This window comes from Homo sapiens, chromosome 6 (assembly GCF_000001405.40).
Source record: "Homo sapiens chromosome 6, GRCh38.p14 Primary Assembly".
Taxonomy (NCBI): domain Eukaryota; kingdom Metazoa; phylum Chordata; class Mammalia; order Primates; family Hominidae; genus Homo; species Homo sapiens.
In genome coordinates, this window is record NC_000006.12 from 72,671,432 (window position 1) to 72,698,088 (window position 26,657).

A 26,657-nucleotide genomic window follows, 5' to 3' on the forward strand; every position below is an offset into this window, starting at 1 on the left:
AACTACTGAGGTTTTCATAAACTTTATTCCAAACCACATACCTTTGTGGTTTTTACTTGAGTCTTGTTTTCTAGAGAGACAAGATAATGACAATGAACACATTTTTATTCATCACTTTAAACTTGTGCTGCCTCTTGGGCTTAAATTTTCTAATATTATTTATTTAAGAAAAAGCACCAATTTTATACAGAATGTAATACTTTCATCTTTATACATGACAAAGTATTAGGATTATCAAAAATGTAACCATGACAACAGGCTTCCTTGCAACCTAGTTCATGATAGCAGAGTACATGGGCATGCAGATTCTTGGCAGGAAATATTTTTTGGTGGTATATGTATACACATAGATATACATAAATATACACATATATATCACCAGAAATTTTTTTTTTTCTTTTTTGAGATGGAGTCTCGCTCTGTCACCCAGGCTGGAGTGCAGTGGCACGATCTCGGCTCACTGCGAGCTCCACCTCCCAGGTTCACACCATTCTCCTGCCTCAGCCTCCCAAGTAGCCAGGACTACAGGCACCCGCCACCACGCCTGGCTAATTTTTTGTATTTTTAGTAGAGACAGGGTTTCACCGTGTTAGCCAGGATGGTCTCAATCTTCTGACCTCATGATCCGCCCGCCTCGGCCTCCCAAAGTGCTGGGATTACAGGCATGAGCCACGACGCCTGGCCTAATTTTTTTTTTTTTTTTGAGACAGAGTCTACTCTATCACCCTGGCTGGAGTGCAGTGACATGATCTCAGCTCATTGCAACCTCTGCCTCCCAAGTTCAAGGTATCCTCATGCCTCAGCCTCCCAAGTCCAGGACCACGCCTGGCTAATTTTTGTAATTTTTGTAGAGACGGAGTTTCGCCATGTTGGGCAGACTTGTCTCAAACTCCTGACCTCGAGTGATCCACGCATCTCTGCCTCCCAAAGTGATGGGATTACAGGGGTGAGCCACTGCGCCCAGCCTTCACCAGAAAATTTTATATGTATATAAACATAGAGTAAGCATTTTTTAATAGAAGAAAGTTAAAAAGACACACTAAGATCCACTAAGATTATTTCATAGACATAAGTAGACAGCCTAGTGTTTTTAAAAATAAAAGTATATAAGTTTTGGTGTCAGAAGTCCTAGTTTCCGATACAGTCTTTGGCACTTTCTGGCTATATATGCTTTGGAAAGTGACAACCTCCTGGGGCTTCAATTTCCTCATCTGAGGAAAATGGAAGCTTTATCCCCTGCCGTACCTACCTTACAAAATTGTCAGAATCAGAAGACGTCATGCCCAAGAAAGGACTTTGTAAAGTATTGATTTCACTCATTATTTCATTACTATAATAGTGGTAATTTTCTAATATTTATCACTTTCATTTCATAACTAAAGATGATAGGAAAAATCTAGAAGTATCAGAGTTAGCATAAAAAATGATAGGAATGATAAAAAGCACTTGTGAAAAGATTTGAGTGATTTGTAGTGATTATGCATGAGAAAGAGAAGGCTAGTAGGTAATCCAATAATTGTCTTAAAGCACTTGAAAACTACTCCAGTGAGCTAATACTGATGACCAGACTAGGAGAGTTCAGCATGAGTTATTTAGGCTAACTAAACCAAATAACTTTCCAGTAGTGAGGTTACTACAAAGTAGAATTGGCCTCTGGGGAGGCTGTGGAATCCCATTTGTGACAGCTGTCCCATTGCCTGGGGATAGCTAACCTCCAGTCTTGCCTGGAGTCAAGGACTGTTAACTCCATAGACTCAGGGCTCCCACCCCTTCAGCTTTGTGCTCTGTGCCTCCGTATGGATCTAGGGTGTTGGGTTAGTGGGCAAGGGAACTTCTTATTTTCCTGGTCATAATTGTTTACTTACAGAAGAAGAAGCAAGCAGTTGAAAGACACACCCTAAATATATAATGCATCAAGTGTATTTTCTTCCTTGAAATACACTTTACTTTTCCTTGGAAAGTAAAATGTCCAATTTTTATTTTAAAATATTGGAAACAATATTGTTTACTGAGTATAGTAAACAACAGAACATACTTCTTTCCAAGGTTATTTTCATTTAAAGTGATTGAGATGTGAAAGAAGACAAGAAAAAAGAGGTAGACTAGGAAGAGAGGGGCAAAGGGAAGGAGTCTGGAGTGTAGGGATTCAGACAGGCAAAGGCAGTGACCCATGGGGAGGAGTGGAGGAGGCGAAGAGGTAAGGCAAGGAAGGAGGACGTGGAGTGGGAATATTTTAGGTTTAGTAAAGGGTACACCCCACTCTTCCTTTGGACTGTGGAAATTGGCATTGTTATCCTTTATCCTCTGCTTTCAAAGAGTTAGTTAGCTGGTTAATCACTATGTTCACATCTTCAACTATCTGATACCTTTACTTTGGTCCATTACTTGAGAGGGTCACCAGATTGGACAATAGAAGTTATTTTCTATGCTTTGGTAGCAGTGACAAAGCCGTTTTATTCAGATTAAATTGAACCAAATGTTCTCAAACTAGAAGTTCTCCACTTCAACTGTATGGAGAGGATAACGTGAATCAACTTTTTTATTTCTAGAATTTCAACCAGTATTAGTATAATACGTTACTCTAAAAGCATTGCTTCATTATTTGTTATATTATAATAAAAAATTGTCTTATAAGCTACATTTCTAGCCTTAAAGACTTAAAAATTGAGACTGTACCGTGAATAGTAAGTGTCACTGTGGATCCTTTTTGGAAACAGGAGAAGAAAATATCTATCTGTATGTCTGCCTATCTGTCTATCTATCTGTCCATCATCCAATGTTTTGATTTTTTTTTTTGGAGAAATTATTTCCCATTTTTCCAAAGCCTTGGTAATACTTAGAGTTAAATTTCTTAACTAGATTAATTGCAGAATGGATTCAAGAGATGCTAAATGGAGATCCTTAAGAAAGTGGGCTATATATTGTGTACAGTGCACATTGCTCAGGTGACAGGTACAACAAAACCTCAGAAATCACCACTAAAGAACTTACTGTACCCCTAAAACTGTTGAAATAAAAATTTAAAATTAAAAAAATATTTTTAAGTTAAAAAAAAGAGACCGGGTATGGCGGCTCACACGTGTAATCCCAGCACTTTGGGAGGCCGAGGCAGGCAGATCACTTGAGCTCAGGGCTCGTGACCAGCCTGGCCAACGTGGTGAAACCCCGTCTCTACTAAAAATACAAAAATTAGCCAGTTGCTGTAGCATGTGCCTGTAGCCCCAGCCACTCGGGAGGCTGAGGCACGAGAATTGCTTGAACCTGGGAGGCAGAGGTTGCAGTGAGCTGAGATCGCGTCACTGCATTCCAGCCTGAGTGACAGGGTGAGATCCTGTCTCTAAATAAATAAATAAATAAATAAAGTTTAAAAACAAAGAAAGTGGGAGTAAGTGTGGCAAATTATCTTTGATCATCTAACTAAGGCTTTGCTATCAACTAATTTTGATCTTCCACTTCAGAGAATAGTTCTATTTTATTATTCAGTGAATAAGTATGTGTGTGGGCCTAACTGCATGGATGCTATAGATCTCTTACTTTAAGTAATGTAGTTATTACATAAAGACTGCTTTGTAGAAAGTTATTTGCTAAGTTGCACTTTAGATTTTTCATTACGTAAGGCACTGTAGTTCAGTCTTTAAAAAATTCAGTAGTTATTTTTTGCTTTGCTCAGGTCTTTTTGAGGCAAACAAAACCAACCAACCATAAAACAAACAAAAAAATTTTCTCTGGTTGTATTTCCCAAAAGACTTATATATTGGTACCTGGGGACCACTCAGTTTTCAAAACTGAGTATCCAAAGCTGTCTTGAGGACACATAAGGCTTAGTAGTCATGAACATATTTGTTATCAAGTTAATTATACTTTCTATCCAAGGGACTTCTAAGGAACTGCAAAATTGTCATCTATTGTAAAGGAAATTTTAATTCCCAGGGAAAATTAGAGAAAGAGGTTTAAATTGTTCTAATTTATCTTGGAATTGAAGTAATATTTAAATTAAAACATTGTGCTTCTGAATTCTATTGTGGAAAACCAGTCTTTGCCTAGGGCCCACTGATTTCAATTTTCAGTTCTGCCCCTGGTGTCTGCCCCTACTTTGTCTTGCAGTCTTGCATCTTACCAGACAAACAATCTGAGATTAACCATCAGTAGTTAAGATTGAGTGACTGGACAATAGCGATAACTGCCAGTGAGATAATAACTGAACTTTCTTGGCATGCTTCTCATACCAGCTTTCTGAAGGTATGTGTGACAGTTTTCCAGAATGACTCCCAGTGAAACTTTGTTTTTGTGGAATTCATGGCCCTTATTTCACTCTAGATTCTTTTAAACTAAGCCTTAGGGTTTTATATTCCTGTAGCCTTATACCATTAATATTTAGAAGGATTTTCCAGTGATTTATGAGATGGGAGCATTGGCTTAGAAAAATTGATCCATTTTAGAATTGAGGGAGTAAATCACTGAACATTTTAACCTAGTTTACTAGACAGTCTCTTTCTTTTGTTTTTAAATATATCCATTCTGAATCTTATATTGATTTTGAAACTGGTTATTGCTCCTATGTAACTGTTTAAGTAAATTCAGAGCACTGTATCTTTGGAGATACAATTATTATAGGATTTAATTTCATTAACTCTTGCAAAGACCTTTGGACTTTTGAGGTTACAAAAGCAGTGTTTTTGGATAATGGGAGGTAACTAACCTGACTTGATCTACTGCACATCCTATTTCGTACTTCATGAAAAAGACTGGGTATTCTCTACTCTTATCTTGAACACAAAGACACATCAGCATGCACATCAGCATGTGAGCTAGGAATGGGAGAAGTGTGTGGGAATGTAATGTATCTGAAAGAATGGAAAATTTTGTCTTTCTCTCCCTTTTTCTTGGATTATTTAAATTTTTTATGTCACAAAGCAGCAGAATAAAATTTCCATCATAAAGTATTTTACTCTATTATAACCTCAATTTTACTGAGTCAGAATATGCTCAGGGCTGACACAGGAGGGAGAAGATGTTTCCGTTGTATGGTAAGTCTGAGAAGAAGCAGATTGGTGTCTCTGTTCCCAGTTTTTGAAGTGAATTTCTGGAGTAAGCATCCTAAATTGAGAAAGAACATAAATATTTCTGTATGGAAATGTTAGAAAACAAGATTCTGGTAATTAGTATGAAATTTTACTATTCATCCCTTTAGATTGTCGTGGTTGCATTAATTGACCAACATTGCTTTTTAAAAATGCTGTCACTTCTCCTTGTTTATATCTATTTTTGCTTTTTTCCATACATTTGACATTTTCTTTAAAATCTGGGCATATAAAATGCTGATTAAAAATATTTTTATGTGGAGTTGAAATCAATGTGTCAAGATTCTTCATTGTATTTTCCTTCAAAAAAGGCTGCTGTAACATAGGACCAAATGTTAAGGGTGCTTGCTGGCATAACTCCAAAGCAGTGTTTTTGGATAACAGGAGTCTTTAATTCTTAGGTATAATTGATATTTTTAGTTAGTACTTTTTTCAGCTTTGTTTTTGGTTTGATTTGGGGTATATGTATGTATGTATGTTTCTATAACAAGTTTTGAATTTTTTTGAAGACTTATCTTCTTAGGCCACCAAAGCAAATTAGTTCAGTAATTATAGTCTCAGTTTACCTTGTTTCCCTCTCAGTGGGTCAACCAAAACCGCATGGCGTACTACTCTCTGAAGCCTCTACTACCCTGCTCCTCCGTGTTGACATGTGGTCAGGCAAGCCAGGACTTACTCACATCAGCTACATCAGTTACTGGGGTAAGAAACTCTGGGCTTTTCAGATACTGTCCTCCAGAAACACCAGCACCAGCCTTTGGGTTTAAGATCACCTGGTGAGATTGATTATCTTTAGGGAATGGTGCAGATGGGATAGTTTCTAGACAATTTGGGAACCTCAGAAATGGGAGTACTTATATTAGAATGACATAAAATAACTTTTTGCCCCAGGGATCTTGCAGTAAAGATTATCATCACAGTTGGCCATACCATGAACTTTTCTAAGTTATTTAAATTTACCTTGAAATGTTATCAGTGTCTGCTGTCACAGAGAATAAATGTATCTGGTATTAACATTTTACTCATGCTTGCCTTGCCTTTACTAAATCTTATCTTGTAATTGAAGAACTTGACTATTTTTAATTCTGAATACAATATGCCTCAGAATAAGGTTTTAAGCTTTAGGTAAGGTAAAGTTTAACTTTAGTTTGTATCTGTGACACCTAACACAATACTAAGGAATTCAACTGAATGAGAAATTTATTCTAGGCATCCACCATGTTCAAAACATACTAAGTACCTAGGAATTACTTATAGAATAGATGTAACTCTATTGAACTATAAATCAAATATCAACATACAAAGTTGAGTGAGCAGACTTGTTTGCCTCTTTTCATTTTTTGTTACACTGATGGATACCACATGTCTTAGGTGATTGGGGGTGCGGTGGCTAGTAATTACTGCCATTATTGTCTGTGATACAGCAGTGTTCAGATAGCAGCTATTCTGCTTATAATCAGATGAACAAGATATTATGTTTGGCTTTGTTTATGGAAAAAAAGAAATTTTATTAAATTGTGGTTAGAGGCCTGTTAGCATAAAGGATGAATGGTTTCTTGGAATTACAACTTGAATATTTTGAGAGAAACAAATGAAAAGTATCTCACTGTAGGGCTGAATTGGTTTGTGACCTTGCTTCTCTAGCTGAAATCTATTGACTCTCTCAGAAGTATTGCTAGGAGAAGAAATAATCCTATAAAAGGACATTAAGCAATGCTAAGAAAAAGATGATGATAATAATAATGCTTTCAGCTCACCATGTGCCAAACATCATATTAAACACTTTAAGTGCATTATTACATTGAATTCTCACAACCCTACACCATATCCTCATTTTACAGATGGAGAAAATTGAAGCCTAGAAAGATCAAGAAACTTTCTCCAGGCCATAAATAGAGGAATCAGGATTCAAATCAGATAGACCCCAGGGCTTGTTCTCTTCAACACCACATTACCCTACATTATTATTCAATTATTAAATAAAACCTTGCATTAGTGGCATTTCCAAATGCATAACAAAAAAATAAAAAAAAGTAACACTGGTCATATGTATCGTATTTTTTATAAAAATTACATTATTCCATTTGTTTTTCTGGAAATTTTTATTGCATTGAGTTGCTAGAATACCATAATATAAAACTTGGCATTTTCTCAATAAATGTGTATGATGCTGTAGTAGGTGTTTAAGATGTCTTTGGAACAACATTTAATTTGTAAGATCTTTTTTATTAATGTGCTGAATTAAGTAATTATTTCTTTCCCACTTTGGGTATGTTCCATATTTGATTTTCTGCTGCTTTCAAGAAGCCATACAATAGAATTCTTAATCCCGTTTTGACTCAACTTCTTTCCAAAAACTAAAATAAAAATAAAAGACATGAAGCACTTCTTTTATCTTATTAGAAAAGCCAATAAAATGAAAGAATCTTCAAAGCAATTTTTTCAAAATATAAAATTGGCAGAGTATTTTGTTTATGAAACTATGGAAACCAAGTTGAGATTTATAAACAAGGACTTCAAAACTTGTTTTGCTAATGCAGTGTCACTCAAGAATTCACTGAACCTCACAAGGTAAACTTGCAGAGAATGTTTGTTTTGGGAAATGATGATGATGACAGGCAAGAATTTTCTAGGTAGAAAATTGAATTTTAATTCAGCTACCATACAATTCACTCTTTTAAAGTATGAAAGTCAGCCATCCCATTACAGGGTATATACCCAAAGGACTATAAATCATGCTGCTATAAAGACACATGCACACGTATGTTTATTGCGACACTATTCACAATAGCAAAGACTTGGAACCAACCCAAATGTCCAACAAAGATAGACTGGATTAAGAAAATGTGGCACATATACACCATGGAATACTATACAGCCATAAAAAATGATGAGTTCATGTCCTTTGCATGGACATGGATGAAATTGGAAATCATCATTCTCAGTAAAGTATCGCAAGAACAAAAAACCAAACACCGCATATTCTCACTCATAGGTGGGAATTGAACAATGAGAACACATGGACACAGGAAGGGGAACATCACACTCTGGGGACTGTTGTGGGGTGGGGGGAGGGGAGAGGGATAGTTTTAGGAGATATACCTAATGCTAAATGATGAGTTAATGGGTGCAGCACACCAGCATGGCACATGTATACACATGTAACTAACCTGCACATTGTACACATGCACCCTAAAACTTAAAGTATAATAATAATAAAATAAAAATAATAAAGTATGAAAGTCAGCCAGGCATGGTGGCTCACGTCTGTAATCCCCACTTTGGGAGGCTGAGGTGGGCAGATCGCCCTAGGTCAGGAGTTCGAGACCAGCCTGGGCAACATGATGAAACCCTGTCTCTACTAAAATTACAAAAATTAGCTGGATGTAGTAGTGCATGCCTGCAATCCCAGCTACTCGGGAGGCTGAGGCAGGAGAATAGCTTGAACACAGGAGACAGAGGTTGCAGTGAGCCAAGATCGTGCCACTGCACTCCAGCCTGGGCTGGGTGACAGAGCAAGGCTCCATCTCAAAAATAAAAAAAATTTTAAAAAGTATAAAATTCAGTGGGTTTTAGGATATCCACAGAGCTAAACAACCATTATCACTATGGGATTCCGAAATATTTTTATTATTCTAAAAAAGAAGCCTCCTTGTCCATAAGCAGTACTCTCCATCCCCTACCACCACCCCTTTCCTAGGTAACCTTCTATCCATTTTTTATCTCTATGTATTTGCCTATTCTGGACATTTGGTATAAATGGAATCATGTAATATGTGGCCCTTTGTGCCTTTTCTTTCACTTAATGTTTTCAAGGTACATTCATGGTGTAGCATGTATGAATATTTCATTTCTTTTTACTGCTAAATAATATTCAGTTGTGTGGATATACCACAGTTTGTTTATCCACCAATCAGTTAATGTGTGTTTGGATCAGCTTATTTTGTTTATACTAAAATTCTGAAGAGTAGGAGCAGGAATACCATCCATGCTAGTTTCCAACTGGAGAATGATAACACTCTTGCCTTCTCTCTCAAATTAAACAAAATCACAGCCAATGAAATGAAGATACCTTCAGAAAGAAAAACCTTGACTTATTTAGGCAATAGATAACCATTTTTTTACTCGTTAAAATGCTTCAGTAAGTTAATTTTGCTTCTCATTACTTTGCCTAGCATTTGCTAGTGTAAATTCATTGTCTAGAACTCCCCCCAAAATCCACATTTACAAAAATATAAGAGGAAATATCCCCTTTCAATTAAGTATAAAAATAACCAAGGTAGTGCTATGAAACTAAAAGTATAAATTAGCATTATGTTTCCTCATTGGCTTTGTTGGATTAGTCCTAAATAACCCAAAAGGAAACATAAATTTCAATTTGTAGGGAGTTTTGTGATCTGATACTTTTAAGTGGGTGTTTAGCAAGTGGCAACAGAAGAAAGAGCACTAGACTGCAATTACTTACTGCAAATCAGAAGCTGCTGGAAACACTGCTTACTAATTGTATACCAAAGCACTTGAGTAAAAAAGTGTGGAAGGGCTATGAAAGCCCTGCTTCTCCTGTTACTTACTTCTGTAAACCAGGACACAAGTTGAGTGAGCTGTGCATTTATTGGAGCTCTCTTATAGAGCACGCAGATCCTGCATGTTTGGAAGTTACAACATTGAGGACGTGAGAAGAAAGCAATGGGGGCTTTCTGTGTATGTGAGAATAAAGCAACGGGGGCTTGCTGTGTGATGATGCTAGTTTGTAACTACTATTATGATAACAATAACAATGATGATAAGAGATAATAATAGCTTTTATTCATTGAGTAATTATTCTCTGTTGGGCTCTTTGCATCTACACGTTACCTCTTAGCATCACAACCCTCCTGGATAAGTTTTATTATCTCTATTTTACAGGCAAGAGAAGTATGCCACTGAAGAATGAAGTGACTTTTCCTTGTGTCAGCTAGCTAATAAGTAACAGAACTGAAATTCAAACCCAGATCCAAAGTCTCTCTCTTTGAACTAGTCAAGGATGGATAATTAATGTTTGACATTAAAACCATAGATGCTTCAAATCCATAATATTGATGATAATATGACTTATGTGGCCCAAAAGATGCAGCCTCTGCATGCATGCCCTAAGTAAACCTGTTTTGCCAGCTTTTGTTCCGGATCTTGCGCCTTCACAGTTGCCCCTTTAAGCTTATCCCCACAGCTTATCATCATCATGCTGTGATCCCAGGACATTCAGAAGATGTGATAGAGTTTTCATGGGATAAACCTGTGAACCATTCCCTTTCAATATCTTCAGTGCCCCTTTCTGACTTATAGAATATGGAGTCAGTCTAAATTATTTAAATTTTCCCTTGAGGATTCTCTAGCCCTATCCTAGATTTGCTCCTGGGTTGCCTTGGAGAATCAAATGAGTTCTTCCCTGAGGGGGAACTGGAAAAATCCTGGAGTTCCCCAGGACTTGAGGATTTCCTGGAGTGACCTCCTTCTTGTGAGATCCTTCAGATCCATGGTCCCAGCTTTCAAGTATGTGGAGAAAAGAGCCTCAGTAGAGTTATCTCTGTCCAAAGCCACTTCATAAAATACTTCCTTAGATATTTTAATGCTTGGCAGTCCCATCTGTAACATTACAGGGATTGGACAATTCCTCACATGGTTATGTTCTTTGGCCAGCACAGTATTAAAAAAACAAAACAAAACAAAAAACGCTCTATATTGTTTTTAGGAACAAAATGCTTGCTCTAGTTCTCCACGGTCTTCTCCAATATCTATTGTATCACAACCAGCCAACTTCCCTGATTAACACTCCCTGCCTGACCCTTAAAGGTGTTTGTTTCTGAAGGTACTGGAAGTGATAATATTCTAAATTTCTTCCAGCTCTACTATCCTCTGATTCTCTCCTTATTTTCAGTTTACAAAAAGGATTTGTACCTTTTTTTTCCTTTGGCCCCACACTTATGTCTTCCTTGCTTCCTTTCATTCTGCTTTTCTGACCTTCCCTTCAGTGCTCAGACATCAAGTGCTTCAACCCACTCTTAGCTGTCCAAGTTCTCTGCCATGGCCTCTTTCCCTGTCTCAGGAATCCAGCCCTCAAAGTACTCCTCTTATACCCCTACTTTACTCTTAATAAATTTTCTATCTCTATGAAGAATCATGAAAGTAAGCTCTTTAAATTGATTCATAATGAAAATAGATTATTCCTGGTATCTTCTATTTTACCATTAGGAACAAGGGTGGGACTGGGATGGAGAGGTGCTTAGGAGCTCCAATGAGTCTTTAATTGGTCAAGGCCAGGGTGGCGAGGATGAAAGGGTTGTGGAAGGGAAAGACCTAATCTGCTGATTTTTTCACACTTACCAAAGAAAGAGGAGAAAGGCTCCTCCAGGAGCCTCTTTACGTTTTTATGTTGAAAAGAGGAGCTGATCGCTGCCCCACTTAGAAATGTCTCACTACCTTCTCTGGAGAGGACAGCTTCTTTAAGGATGGCTCTGCCCTCAGCCATACGTGATTTTTTAACTCAGTGTGTCTTCCTTGGCCTGGATGCAGAGGATGGAAGATGGCGTCCTTACTGCTTCACCTGTTTTACCACAATTTTGTTAAGTGGAGAAATTATGGGTAATTAACTCAAGTTCACACAAATGCTAAGTGTTAAAACTAGTTCTCAAGCTAAAGTGTGTCTGAACCCCAAAGCCAAGCCTTTGCTGTCAGACTTTCTGAGGCTCTCAGAATCCCCCATTTTCAGGTACCTGTGGTCAGAGGAGGGAGAAATCAGCACACACATTCTCACTTACTCTTGGATTCTGGTCTTTGGTGGGAGCTTGAAGCAAGTGCTTGTTAGCCACATATACTTTTTTTTTTTTTTTTTTTTTTGAGACAGAGTCTCGCTCTGTCGCCCAGGCTGGAGTGCAGTGGCGCAATCTCGGCTCACTGTAAGCTCTGCCTCCCGGGTTCACGCCATTCTCCTGCCTCAGCCTTCCGAGTAGCTGGGACTACAGGTATGTGCCACCACACCCGGCTAATTTTTTGTATTTTTAGAAGAGACGGGGTTTCACCATGTTAGCCAGGATGGTCTTGATTTCCTGAACTCATGATCCACCTGCCTCGGCCTCCCAAAGGGCTGGGATTACAGGCGTGAGCTACTGCGCCTGGCCCACATATACTTTTTCTCTTGCCCAGCTGGTCTTAATTGTATATGGTTTAGATGTCTCTTAGGAATGCCTGGGTTTGTATGTTTGGTGTGGTAAAAAAAAAAAAATGCCATTTGTGTAACTGCTTACCAACTTACCAAGTTATGATGAATAAAGTAATTATGTCAAAATGTTTAGGTTTACATTGTCTGGAGCTTATAATTTTATAATTGCTGCTAACAGCTAGTTTTTCTTTTATGTTTTCACATCATTTTCTGTCCTCATGGAAAGTCTTAACCTGTGAGAAAGCCATCGGTATCTTCATTTTAGTAATAATGAAACTGAGACTTAGCTTACCAACCCACATGGTCAATATCAACACACAGGTCTTTTGATTTCAAAACCTACAAGAAAACTCTGTTCATGTATGTATAATCATTACCTATTATGCACATGGCATGATCACCTGGTCTCTATAAAGCAAAAACAAAAAGCCCGACATGATTCTCTTAGCCTTCCAATTCCGAATGAGTATGGGTTCCACCATCCATAGTCACCAAGGTCCTTATTCATTCAAGATCCTTCCTTAGTCAGATCCTGAGGCTTTTGTGTGCACTGGCAGCAATGGCATCCCACGCTTCCCTGACACTGGAGGATACCTACAGAAAAGATCCTAGCTGCTTGCCAATTTTAAGGCACATCCATGTAGTAGAGTGAGAGCCTACACCGACAAAGTATTGTGGTTTCTTCCCAAGAAACTATTTCTTAACTATTTTGCCTGGAAATCTCCATCCACAGAGGCAGACAGTAAAAGTTTCCAAAAATCTTTCATCAGTGTCTTTGAGATAGACTTGCCTCTGCCACCTGGGCATTAGTATCAGGCCTTGATATTGATTATTACACATTGTATACATGTATCAAAATATCACACTGTATCTCCAAAATAGGTACAATGGTCTGTCAATCAAAAATTATAATGCAAGAAAAAGTGTTGTTTTCATGCACTTGGAATGGGCCTTTGCATATGTTATCTGTGTAATGCTATGCATTGTCATTTGGAAAGTTTTAGTTCACTAGTTATGAAAACCTTCCAAATATTGACATATTAATTTATGAAATAACAAAATGTTACATTTGTTAATATGAATTAATAATGCTGGCATATGATAAAGAATGTGTGTGTATGCATTTGTGTCTGTGTGTGTGTATGTGTGTATTTCTGTGTGTGTGTATGCGTGTGTGTCTGTCTGTGTATTTCTGAGGCCCCTAGGCATTGCTCCATCTCTCCTCTATATAATTCTTAAGAAACATTCCACTGGGCTGCATTTCTTGGCCTACACCATTGTCCCTCCCTCTATATTGTTTGTTTGTACTTCAGGCCAAAAACAAAACAAGCACAAATAAGCACACTGAACAAGAAAGAGAAAAGGGCCCTTAAAATGAGATGAAGAGAGAGGGTGTAGGGCTATGTGTTGTGCAGAATGATTGAATGAATCCAGGCAAACTCTGATTTGGTTTGTAAGTTCTATTTTATCTATTTTAGTAACCTGTATTGAAAGCCTGGACCCAAAGAGCTGAGGTCCTAATTCAATGGTTTCTGTCTGTGATACAAAAAGTTTCTGGCTACTCACTAAGAGGTTTGCTTAGAGTAAATCCCTCAGTCAAGAGAAACATATTGTTTTGAATTGAAGCTCAGTTTTTAGTTAACAAAACTATATGCATTCCAACATACACTGGTTTTGTTCCTTTTCTTTTGAGCTGGATATACATGCATATAATACAAAATCAAAAGATATATGGTGGTTAACAGTGAGAATTCTTCCATCCCGTTCCTGGCCCCCTGACAACCAATTTCTTACTCCAGAGTCAACTACTATCCTTGCATTTTTTATATCCTTCAGAGATGTTGTATGCATTATCACTATGGATGTAAGTTTTTGTTTTTTTCATAAATGTTATCATATCATACACACTGTATATTATGCCTTAGCAGTTTATACAATACTGCCTTACTCATTTTCATAGTATACAGAATTCCATCAAATGGATGTGAACTAATTTATTTAACTGCCTTCAATTATTTCTAATATTGTCTATCATATTTCAAGGAAAATGCTTATATGAATGTCATTTTACTTGTATGTTAGTATATCAAGAGGATAACTTCCTAGAAATGTATCTTGGGCTCCTCTAAGAAAATACCATTGCTGAGTGGCTTAAACAATAGACATTTATTTCTCACAGTTCTAGAGCAGGAAAGTCCTAGATCAAGATGCCAACAGATTCAATTCTTAGTGAGGGTCCTCTTCTTAGCTTGCAGATAGTTGCCACCTAGCCGCGTGATCATGTGACCTCTTCTTTGTGCATGTTTAGAGAGAGAGCTGTGGTATCTCTTCTTTTTCAAGGATGTTGACCCCCTTATGGGGCTTCATCTTCATGACCTCATCGAAACCTGATTTACCTCCCAAATGTCTCACCTCCTAATAATATCACATTGGGGATTAGAGCTTCAACATATGAACTTTAATATGTTGAAAATTCAGCTCATAACATGACTGGGTCAAACTGTGTAAAATTTTGGCAGATTTGCTATTGCTTCACATAGGGTCCTACCCGTTTCCAATATAAGAAAGAGTAAGACTTTGAACCTTGCCAACAAACTGTATTATCAAATTTTGTGATGTTCCCTCGAGCTGATAGGTCAAAATGATAGCTCAGTATAGTTTCAATTTACATTTCTTTTGTTAATATATGAGGCTGATGAACATTTCATATGTTCATCATTTAGCACTTTAGCACTATTAGCACTTTATTTTTCTAAGAAGTAGGTATTCACAGTCTACCCACTTTTCTGTTGGATTGATGATCCTTTTCTTATGTGTATGTGAAAATTGTCATTTTTCTTTGATATAAGCTGTAAATACTTTTGCCAGTTTGTCTTGTGTCTTGACTTTTGTTAAGGGTGTTTTTATTTTTCATAATAACTTTTTAAAAATTTGTCTTCTATTGCATCTGTAAGATGAAATTATAAATTACTTCACTGCCCATCTTTAGTTTGAGAATCTTTATGGGTTGTTTTTTTTTTTTTTTTTTTTACTTTTAAGTCTTTGATACATCTGGGACTACTGTGGTACAGGTTATGAGATAAGAATCCAATATCTTTGTTTGATTTTATTGTTTTGTTCCTTCTTTTAATGTTACTCAGGTGTTCTGTATCTGTTTATTTCTTCAGAAAAAAATAGGTTAATCTATCAAATAAGGGAACATATCTCAAAAAGTCATAAAAGGGCTAAATTATATGATTCTATATGATTATCTACTGATTTTTGTCACTGTAAACATAATCTGGATAATTCAGATTTAGAATGTGTGTGTGTAAGTAAATATATTTTAGGACAGTTCTTAACTTATCAGTTAATTGTGTAACTCTTGTATTTAATTTACAGAATCTATAAATTACATTTATATAGTGAAGATGAGTTACCTTGAGCAGCCAGAAGTAGCATCAATACCAAGATCCTCCAAGGCTGTATATGAAGCGTTACTGAATACTTAAGCCAATATTGATTGCTCTCTGCTCTGTTTCCACTGACATTGATTGTCTGGACCATATATTTGAGTGGAAAATCATCTTTCTTAGGATGTTATGTCTATTGTATATGTCTTATCTACCTTCCCCAGAAAAGCTGTGAACTCCTTAGCAGAGAGATCATGACCTATACTTCTATTTAATCTGTTCAGCAAATATTGAGTGTCTACCATGCTCCAAACACTATCCTGAGGACAAGAGAGACAAAGAGAACCGTAGGCCCTGCCTTCAAGGAGCACATGGCTAGTGGAAACAGACAGTAAGTCGACAATGACAATACATGTGACCATATTTACAGTGCTCCAAGAAGTTCAGAAAAAAGCCATCTGATTTGGACTGGGAAGAACATTATGGGGATTTAAGGAGATAAAAAGTGAAAGCATACTTGAAGTGCTAGGCAAATGATGGATGTAAAGTAAGTTTAGGAAAGTCCTGAGTCACATTTTACTTCTGTTTATATTATAAGCATTGTGTCTCAAACTGTAGAATGATGTTTCATTTATTTGGCTTTTTCTAGGAAAAAGAAATGAAATATTTTTCCTAAGAAGTGAAAAGAACCCATAAGAGCTCCAGTTTGCAAAATGCTAGTCTTTTTATTGATCCCTTTTTTTTTTTTTTTTTGACATGGAGTGAGTCTCTCTCTGTCGCCCAGGCTGGAGTGCAGTGGCGTGATGTCGGCTCATTGCAACCTCCGCCTCCCAGGTTCAAGCGATTCTTCTGCCTCAGCCTCCCAAGTAGCTGGGACTACAGGTGCGCATCACCATGCCCAGCTAATTTTTGTATTTTTAGTAGAGACGGGGTTTCACCATATTGGCCAGGGTGGTCTCAATTTCTTGACCTTGTGATCCACCTGCCTCGGCCTCCCAATACTGATCACTTTTTAAAGTGTTCTAAATGCATGTTACATTGCTTTCTTAATCTAACTATACTGAGCAGAGTTTACACTTTATACTGAGCAGAGTTTACACTTTATTTGAAGTTTCAGAAATAGCATTCAGAACATCTTCTTTTGTACAACACAGCAACTTCAGGGGCTCTTCAAGATTTCCCAGGTTACTAGGTTCTTAAGGTTCACTCTTTTAAGAGAGTTTCTTTCTTTCCCATTGTCTAAGTCTAGACTAAGATCCAAGTTTACTTCCAGCATTTCTTTATCTTTATCCTTCTTCATTTGCAGCTTCTTCTTGTTTATGCTTTGGGAAACCAGATGAAGAAACTGGTCCAAATTACAGTATACCTAAAAGGAGAATTTACAGGGTCTCTGTGGCAGAATGGAGTTCCCGCTTGTAAATAAATATAAAAGTTTTAGTGCAAAAAGATATGCAATCAATTTTTACTGTCATCATATCTGTTAAAATTATTGTTGATTTCTCTCAGCAATGTTCAATACAGTTGAGGTTTCTGGATAAGTTATCTAAGTATATACGGAGTATGGTCATACATTAAAAAAATACAAAAGGTTTCAGACAGCATTTAATGTCATTCTTCAAATTCTTATTAAAATTGCATCGTATTTATCTATAGACAATAATTATCCACCTAACTTGTTTGAATGTTCTATAATAATGCAAAATGTCTATGATTGCAAGAAAAGTGAGTTTTTAAAATTTTTGGTCTTTTGGTGTGTTTTTTTCTCATTGTAACTGAATTGCCCAAAAATATAAGCTTGGTAAAAGCTTATTACCTCAAGAAATATTTCATGTCAAAACAGAGCACATGTTAAAGTAAAAACAATTCTTTAGAGTGAGAAAAACATTATAGCTATAAAAATAATTAAAGAGTTTTGACTATTAAAAATGTAACCTTAAGTCATTAAATGTTCATTACTCATTCAAAGTTCTTGCAGTTGGGAATTTACTGATGGCCTATTTGCAGTTAATTTTGAGGTTTAAAGTAAATGAACTTACCAGATATAACCCTTTGGAGTCCTGGTTAGAAAACAAAAACCATGCAGCTACTCCCATAGCTCTACAAACCTGTGGTGCTTTCAAGCGTCAATGGCGGAACAGAATGAGTAAGAGCAGAGACAAGGGGGCAGTGACTAAGGGACTTTAAGTCATGAGTCTAATTCCCCTGGGACATAGCTAGCCTTCACACAGAAAAAACAAAACAGAAAATCTCCACCAAAAAGAAGCATTCTTCGATCTCAAGCAACATCCCTAACTCATCCAAAGTGGTCATTTGTCCAAGGGGGACTAGATGAGACAGCATCAACCCAGAAAAATTAAGGAGCATCTGGCAGATGGGGAATCCCAAACGGCAGCCTCGCTAACAGAGTAAAACACATTTGTGAGAGACCCACAATGGAACATTTCAGTCCCTTTAGAAAGTTTCAGAGGTGGCAGACTTTGTAGTAGCTGAGAATTTGTGTTTAACTAAAAATTGGAAGATTATATATACTTATACCCACAAAGTATTAGGCAAATGGTAAAAGTTTTAAAATTATTGATACTGTGGTAAAATTTACATACCTGAAATGCATTACAATTCAGTGACATTGCATGCAGTTTTAAAATAACTTAGCTATATTTAGTTTTTCTAGTTGAAAACAAGCGTTTTTTTTTTTTTCAACCTCAGTGCAACAGGAAAGTGAAAAACAAAACAAAAACCCATAGTAAGTTGACAGTAATCTGATTGGGTAACTGATTTTTCTTCTGTTTCGAGAGTTATTTAGTTATTTAAGAGTTACTTAAAGAGTACAAGATTGAATTTGTAACTTGAATTTCCAGATTTAGCTAGAGTGGCTTACAAAAGCATGAAAATGGCCAGGCGCGGTTGCTTACGTCTATAATTCCAGCACTTTGGGAGCTGAGGTGGGTGGATCACTTGAGACCAGGAGTTGGAGACCAGCCTGGCTAACATGGTGAAACCCCGTCTCTACTAAAAATATAAAAATTAGCTGGGTATGATGGCGGATGCTCTAGTCCTAGCTACTCAGGAGGCTGAGGCAAGAGAATCGCCTGAACCCAGAAGCCAGAGGTTGCAGTGAGCCGTGATCCCGTCTCCAAAAAAACAAAAAAGAAAAGAAAAAGAAAACATGCTGTTTCCACAGAATTAATTTGTTACAATCAAACATAGTTGCTGTCCTATGTTTATTAATATAATTTCATCATCATCATATTTTCAAGTTACTCTTCCTAAATTTTTTTTACCTGCTTCTGAATCTCTGTTCTTTGGTTCCCACTCTTCTCTTTGCCTCATCTCCCTCACTGAATTGTGTGTTTCATGAAAGGAAAGTTTGTTTCCTATTTAGGGTTGTGGACAGAAGATTGGTAAAATTTCTTGACACCTACTATTGAATCAAGTTTACTTAATGTAAAACATTGGTGTTCCCAGTTATTTGTAAATCTACAAAAGATTTACAGTAGAAGAGGCAAAGCCTGTGAAGTGTCAACATAAAGGCTGCTGCTGCTGTCAACATCTGTTCCCCCAACTGCATACAGAACTCTAATGGGGCAGCCCATGCCTCCTGAAATCTGTTACCAAGAAAAAAAAAAAAAAGCCTAATAGTACAATACTTTTTATTTCTTAAGCCACAACAATAGTGAAACTGTATGTGTTCTTTTGCAGTTTTTTTTCCATTCTTCATAGGAAAGATGCTAAAGTATAATTTCATTTAGAATACCATATATAAATTATATATAGATGTCCTTTAAGAATTATAAAAATAATGAAAATTATATTTATCCTTTATGTCTTATGTTTTCCTTAATATTTCCTAAAGAATTGTTATATATCAGAAAACAATTCAAAATATTCAGAATTATTAGCCTCTTAACCACTGTGTTTATTAGCTTAAACTAGTAATAGAGAGCAAACTGGCTTTTCTTCTTAGCATAGGTTTTTGGAAACTTGAACTCAAAAATCAGTAAATTCAAAAGGAGTTATAGTTTCAGAGTATTTGGCATAATATATTTGAAAAGAATATTCCCTTCACTTATCTTTGTTTGCATTAGACTTGTGTTAATTATGTGATTCCTCTCCATAGCCTCAATAATAAAGAGATCTCAAGTTGGAATGTATAGTTCTATTTTTCATAAGTATCATTTAAAAACCGATTTATAAACCCTATGACTTATGAAATATTTGTGAACAAAACACCCAATGCCACTGGAATAATTCAAATGAAAGAGGGTCTTACATTGAGCAATTTGTCAGTTTAATACCTGCCCTTTACAATTGCTCTGCGGTTGACCCTTTAGTCGTATTTTGAGTTAGCAGATGAAAATAAGGTTTCCCTTGAAGTAGTGGTTGCTAAGGGCAACTGGTACTGACGCCGAAGACGAATACTCTATCTCCTTAGTATAATGCCTACTTTGTGAGCTAAATAAAGAGCTAAATTGTAGAGAAGAAAGTTGTACAAATGTGAAATATCAAGAAAGGAATAGAAACAGGAATATTAGAGATGGGAAAATAAGAAAAAGAATTACTATAATCACTTTTTTGGTAACTGCCTGGCATTTTGGACAGATGTCCTTATCTCCTGGGCACTCTGCATTTCCACCTTTCATAGCTGGAAAATTAACATTGTTCACTGGGGCAAGACTTTCTTTTGTAATATGAATTCATGTCATTAGTTCTTAGTGGATTTTGACAAAATGGAGGTGAGACTGTGATAGAAATATTTGTCAACTTTTTAGGCTTGGATTTTCAAGCATAAATATTTTGTGTCAGTAGAATTGCTTTATGCTATTTGGACAACTTGTAGTGTGCAGGGTCAGTTATCTCTAACTCCATGTCAGTACAGATTGTTTTATGAACATGTTGGTTTAATGAGAGAGTCTTCATATAGAATGTGTTATAACAGTGTTCATAATTTCTTCGACCAAATTGCACTTAATGTATTCATTGCTGTGATTTCAGAAAGGTTTTTAAAAACTTCATTGTATCCTAGGCAATGCTGTTTCTAAAGGGTGAGTTCATTACTCCTTTATGAGCATCTGCTCGATGCCAGGTGTTTTGCCTGTCTACAAGAAGCCCACAGACTGGGAAGATGGACATAAAATCAAGTAATTACAGATGAGTACACTGTAAGCTATAATCAAGGCATAAATTTGATGCTATAGGAGCACAGAGTGAGAAACATTCACTGAGTAAGTCACATTTAGCTTGCAGGATGGTTTGGAGTTTGCAGGTTGTGCGAGAAACATCTGCCTGCAGCAGCATTCCTTCCATGATTATCAAGGTTCATGCAACTGATCTGTTTCATTGCATGTATTTGAATGTCTCTTTCCTTCCTCTACACTTCTAGAATTAATTTGTTGGTTAAGGAAGATAACTCAGCTAGAGGAATCAGTGGGTTTTTTAATATGAGACTCTGCAAATACATTTCTTGTAAGTGTGAACATTTTGAAATTTTCTAAGGTGATGAAGAACAAAATGAAACTCTGTAGGCACAGCTAGGAATGGGCTCTGCAGGAAAAGTGTCAACTTTATGTTCCAGATTTCTCAGGACAGTCTAGACTCCAAGTGAGTCCTTTTACCCTGGTAGAAGTTTGCTTATCAGACCTTATGTACTGATGCTCTTGATCATAGAAATATGGTCAATGTAGCAAAGAGACAAAGTAATGAAGGAGGGCTAGTGAGGCCCTGCTGTAATATGGTGTAGGATTTATGAGACTGGAAAAGTATGTAAAGACATACTGTAGAAGGTTTTGTATGCAACACCAAGAAATTTGGACTTTGTCCTCCAGGCAAAGGAGCCATCACATTTTTCAAAAAGGAATGAGGAGGTGGAATTATTTTTATAATTTATTTTCTGTAAATTGTTGGGAAATGGATTATTTTTTAAAAAGAATATTTCTAATAGCAATATAGAGAATGGATTGGGCTTAAGTTTTCAGGAAAAAGACTAACTTTGAAGTATAGATTTATGTGTTACTAACTTATAGATAATAATTAAAGCCATAGGAAATGGGTGGGAGAACCCAAAGGAAGCATGTGGAATAAGAAGACAAGCAGGAAGAAGGAAGGAATCATTAAAAGCATATATGAATATGAAAAAGAGGAGAAACGTGCACACGAGACTTGGAAGGAGTGTTTAGAGAGTTAGAAGATAATCAGGAGAGTGTGTTTGGGAGCAAGATGTGGAGAGATTTTAAGAGAGAAGAGTTGATAAGGAGTGCCAAATCCTGTTAGGGCTGTAGGATGAGACTTGAAAAAGTGGATTTGGCAATTAGGCCATTTGAACCTTAGCGCTGGTAGGTTCACTTCATAAGGTCTTCTTTGTTAGAAAACAAAACATAACAAAGCTGTTAGTGATGGGATTCAGGATTCTTTAGCAGGGCAAGGGAGTAAAAGTTTTTCTCTGGAGGAAAAAAAGGGTAAGATTGCAGGAAAATGAAATAAATGTTAGGGCCCAGTAAAGGAAGCCCTAATCATAGAATTGTAGGACTAGCTATTACTGGTTGTTTAAATTGTACCACCATAGGTCAAAACTCCACCTAAAACTATTCCGGAGAGGTGAATATTGTAATTGCTTATACAGAATCCTAATTATGAGCTAATAAGAAGAGGCATTAAAACTAGCACCCCACTGATTTAATTTGGAGAGAGACACTTATATTAGCTGTTTCTAAGACTTATCTTTTAATTCTTCCCAAAACCAGTTATTTCACAGTTGGCTCACAGTTTTGAAAGTAGAACTGCTAGAGTAAAGAAAGAAATTTACAGCTTCAGATGTTTAGTTTCTGAAGGTGTCAGAATCCCATATTTCTCTTTTATTTATTTTTCACTGAATTTTGGAGAACACTGATTAACTTAAAGTTTTAGATTTAATTTTTTCCTATGGGCCATTACACATGAATGCCAGCTGTCTTCTGTCAAGTAAAAACTAGGACAGTCCCATTCCAGCCCACCCTGTTTTAAGCTACAGGGTCACTGAGAATGTAGTAAGAAATTATACATTTTTTGATCATGTAAAATATGGATCCTTTTTTTTCTAGTAATTACTCTCTTCCATATTTCACAATTTATCATTTCTGTGAGGAATAGCAGCACAAGAAATATACAACATCTGTGACCCTTAGAAGGGGCCCTCAGAGAGGCCTTGCATAAAGTTGTGCCCCCCTGTGGCTGGGCAGGAAGACTTGGTCTGCAGATAAACTAGCTAGATAATGGATGGTTTCTGTTATTTTGGTCTGAAGGCTTGATATGTAAGAGATGCATCCTTACTTTGTGCCTGTCCTTTCTTCTCATGGATTGAGAGATGCAGAGGGGTTATGTGACAGAGTTAGGAGAAAAAACATTGGCCTGGGTAGGAGTTCTGGCCTCTAGTGTTGACCTGGGCCCATATAAACTCTATAGCTGATGGTGGGCAAGTCAATGAAGCTCACTGAGCCAGAATTTCCTCATCTATAAGATAAAGGTGGTTGTGCCACCCTGACTACTTCATAGAATGGCAGTGAGGACCCAAGGTAAGAATACCTGGACAGACTACCTCAAGAAATGTGTTATTGTCACGATACTGGAACTACACCTTTTTTTAAAATAATTTCAACTTTTCTTTTAGATGCAGGACATACATATGTGACTTTGTTACATGAGTATATTGCATGATGCTGAAGTTTGGGATGCAAATAATTCCACCACCCAGGTACTGAGCATAGTACCCAACAGTTTTAAAACCTTTCCCCGCTCTATTAGTTCCCTATGACTGTTGATGCCATCTTTATGGCCATCAGTACCCAATGTTTAGCTCCCACTTATAAGTCTCACGGAGAGCTTTTGTGGTATTGGTTTTTTATTTCTGAGTTAATTCACTTAGGATAATGGCCTCCAGCTGCATCTATATTGCTGCAAAGGATATGGTTTCATTCATTTTTATGGCTGTGTAGCATTCCATGATATATATACATATACCACATTTTCTTTATCCAGTCCACCAATGATGGGCACCTAGGTCAATTCTATGTCTTTGCTATTACGGTTAGTGCTGCATTGTACATATACCTCTCTATATATATTCTAGGACAACTGCCGTCAAGATATTTGTACACATAAATGACCGTTGTTGTAAAACATAGCATTGTGTGTCTATATTTCATGACTTCAATGCTGTTTCAAAAGGACCTTAGTTTTTACCTAAACTCAATAACATTTTTATTTCTATTTTTTCTTTATGATTTTTTAAGCTTACTGAAAAGTACAGAAAACAATAAATATTCCCGTACTTTCCTCTTATATAAAATGGTTCCACCATCTTGTCACATTTCCTTCAAATTTTCTTACAACAAAACAAAGCTTACAGAGGTTGCTGAAACCCCACCTCTCCATCCCATTCACCTCTTTTCCTCTCTGAATGTTATTATCTTTAAATGTTCACACAATGACAAAAATCATGTAACAACACTTCTCAGAACATATACATGCCATTTAGCTATGCATGACTGTGTTTATAATATATAATATTACGTATATTGGATTATAAATATTATGTATGATTTTATATAAATATATATGTGCAAACATACACATATACACACATACACTTGTTTTGGGAAGATTTAAACTTGTACTTAAATTGTTTCATTCAAAAATAAGGTTTTCAAGAGCTGGGCGAGGTGGCTCATGTATCTAATCCCAGCTATTCAGGAAGCTAAGATGGGAGGATAGCTTGTGCCCAGAAGCTCAAGGCCAGCCTGGGCAACATAGCAAGTCTCTGTCTCTAAAAAATAAAAAATAAAGAAAAGGTAACAATTTTTTTAAAAGTGAGCCAAAAGTAATGTTTTGAGAGATTCAGCCATATTGATGCATGCAGTTTTAGTTTATTTTAACATGAGAAGAGAATGTGGCTATTAAATTGCTGGTAAGAAGGTACAAATATCTAGTAGACCAATTTGGAAAAAACAAGTAAATTTGGGAGAATGTATATCCTGTGACCCAGCAATTTCACTTCTCCGCATGAGAAACTCTTACACATGTGCACAAAGATATCTAAAAGGTTGTTCGCAGCAATGGTTTTAATCATGAAAACCTGGAAGTAATTTAAGAGGCCCTCATTAGTAACATGGGCAAACAGTGGAATATTATACAGCAGTGAAAATAGCATTTTAATAAAATGAATTATGGTAATCAGAAAAATTGTCAAACTATTAACCACATATAAATCTACAAACAATACTTGATAAAATACGGGTGTGAAAAAATTTTTAATATTAGGCACTTTATGAAGCAAGATGTTTTCTCCTATTCATCATAATTTTTACACAATCTGTTTCCTTTTTAAATGAGTGTATTAGGCTTGCATGAGATAATTACAGAAGAATAATAAGACATTTTCAAAAAAGATGCAGGTTAATAAATGGGCAAGATCTATTTTGCAATTTTTCTCCAACATTTTTGTGTGATGCTGAGTGGCAACTCTTTATCTCTTAGTGGGCCACAATCAAAGAACTCCATAAATTAGTGTTATTTATAGGTTATCTGCTTTAAGAAAATCTTGCATATTAAAACATAGACTTAAAAATATATAGTAAGCTGGGGATTTTTTTAAATAGAGGCATACTTGGATTTATAATTGGAAACACCTTTGCATAGGAACACTCCCAGTATCTTAAATATGGCTTACTATATGAAATTTATTTTTTCAAAGCTTCAAGAATACATATCTTGCATAAAGAAGAAATATATATAGTGATAGTAGTAATTTTAGCACTAAATAATGGTTGACACTTCAGTGCCACATATTAGTAGCTCTAGTGATAAAACTCTATCAAAGATGAAGATAATCAGTTTACTGCTACCCCTTACAAAGTCTGATATTTATTTGAGGTCAATCGCGGTATCATTCTTTAATTTCATATCTTGTCATGTTCATCACCGTGAAGTTGAGGTAAAATTCTTTTAACTCATTCTGTAAAACTGTTAAGCTATAAATCAGATGTTCATTAAAGTCAAATAGAGTTTAGTTTTGTGATTTCATTCTCCTCAAGAATCATTGAGCGATCTTTTCCCTGTGAAACGGTACTTCAGTGAGGATTGATTTTGTAGCTCAGATAGGATGGTTGTTTTTACTGGTCATTCCCCATGTTCATTTATCCTAATCTTACCAATTATGCACTTCTGGGTACCAATTGAACTGTGGAAGGAGCAAGTGGGATGCAAGGGAAGAGGAAAGGGCCATATAGAAGTTATAGGACACAATAACTCATGGTGGGTCACAACTTTATTTCAAGCAGCTTCTTCTCTGAAATCTGGTATGCAAATTCTAGATTTATTCCTAGATTTAAACCTTAAATTCTAGATTTAAACCTTAAACTATATACAGTGAAAGCAGCTGATGGTGGTAAAACAAACTGTAATCCAAGATGAATTTCAGAATGAGAAAATTTAGAAGAAATTAGGATATAATTCCTTAGGTTTCTGTGAAAAATAAGCAAGGCAGGAGTGATGAAGAAATATTTGGTAATGAAAGTCAAGAGAATTACAATAAAATAAATTACTTAGGACATGAGTTTAGTTACTGCAGTTTTATGTGGATGTTTACATTTTTAACTATTTCACCTGTTATATTGTTTTATTAAAAGGGTTCCTTTTTTCAGCTTTATTGAGGTGTAATTGGTAAATGGATATGTTAATTAGCTTGATTATGGCGATTATTTCACAATGTATACATAGATCTAAATATCAATTTATATACCTTAAACATATACAATTTTTACTAAGGAAGTTCTTGGTTAAACAAAATACCTTTTCAAAGTGTATCAACTGGGGACGGTGGCTCATGCCTGTAATCCCAGTACTTTGGGAGGCTGAGGTGGGAGGATTACTTGAGTCCACTAGTTCAATACCAGCCTGGGCAGCATAGTGAGACCCTTTCTCTACAAAAATAAACAAATAAATAATAAAAGTGTGTCCGTT

The 26,657-nt window shown here is 36.3% G+C and overlaps 1 protein-coding gene and 1 long non-coding RNA gene across 10 annotated transcripts in view, besides 1 other annotated feature; both read left to right on the forward strand.

The window, feature by feature from the left end:
* KCNQ5-IT1 (KCNQ5 intronic transcript 1) overlaps positions 1–7,127 on the forward strand; it is a 48,064-nt gene extending 40,937 nt beyond the window's left edge. Inside the window, exons 3-4 of the long non-coding RNA NR_120503.1 lie at positions 5,664–5,783; positions 6,923–7,127. This is a non-coding gene — a long non-coding RNA (KCNQ5 intronic transcript 1). The remainder of the gene's footprint in view (positions 1–5,663; positions 5,784–6,922) is intronic.
* Positions 1–26,657, forward strand: part of KCNQ5 (potassium voltage-gated channel subfamily Q member 5) — a 576,790-nt gene that overhangs the window by 49,368 nt on the left and 500,765 nt on the right. The gene's annotated exons all lie outside the window — the stretch shown is intronic.
* Positions 17,952–18,071: an enhancer, noted in NCBI's record as "active region_24738". NCBI's record gives its function as "activates an Ori minimal core promoter by ATAC-STARR-seq in GM12878 lymphoblastoid cells {active_cell/tissue: GM12878}" and the evidence as "EXISTENCE:reporter gene assay evidence [ECO:0000049][PMID:35858748]".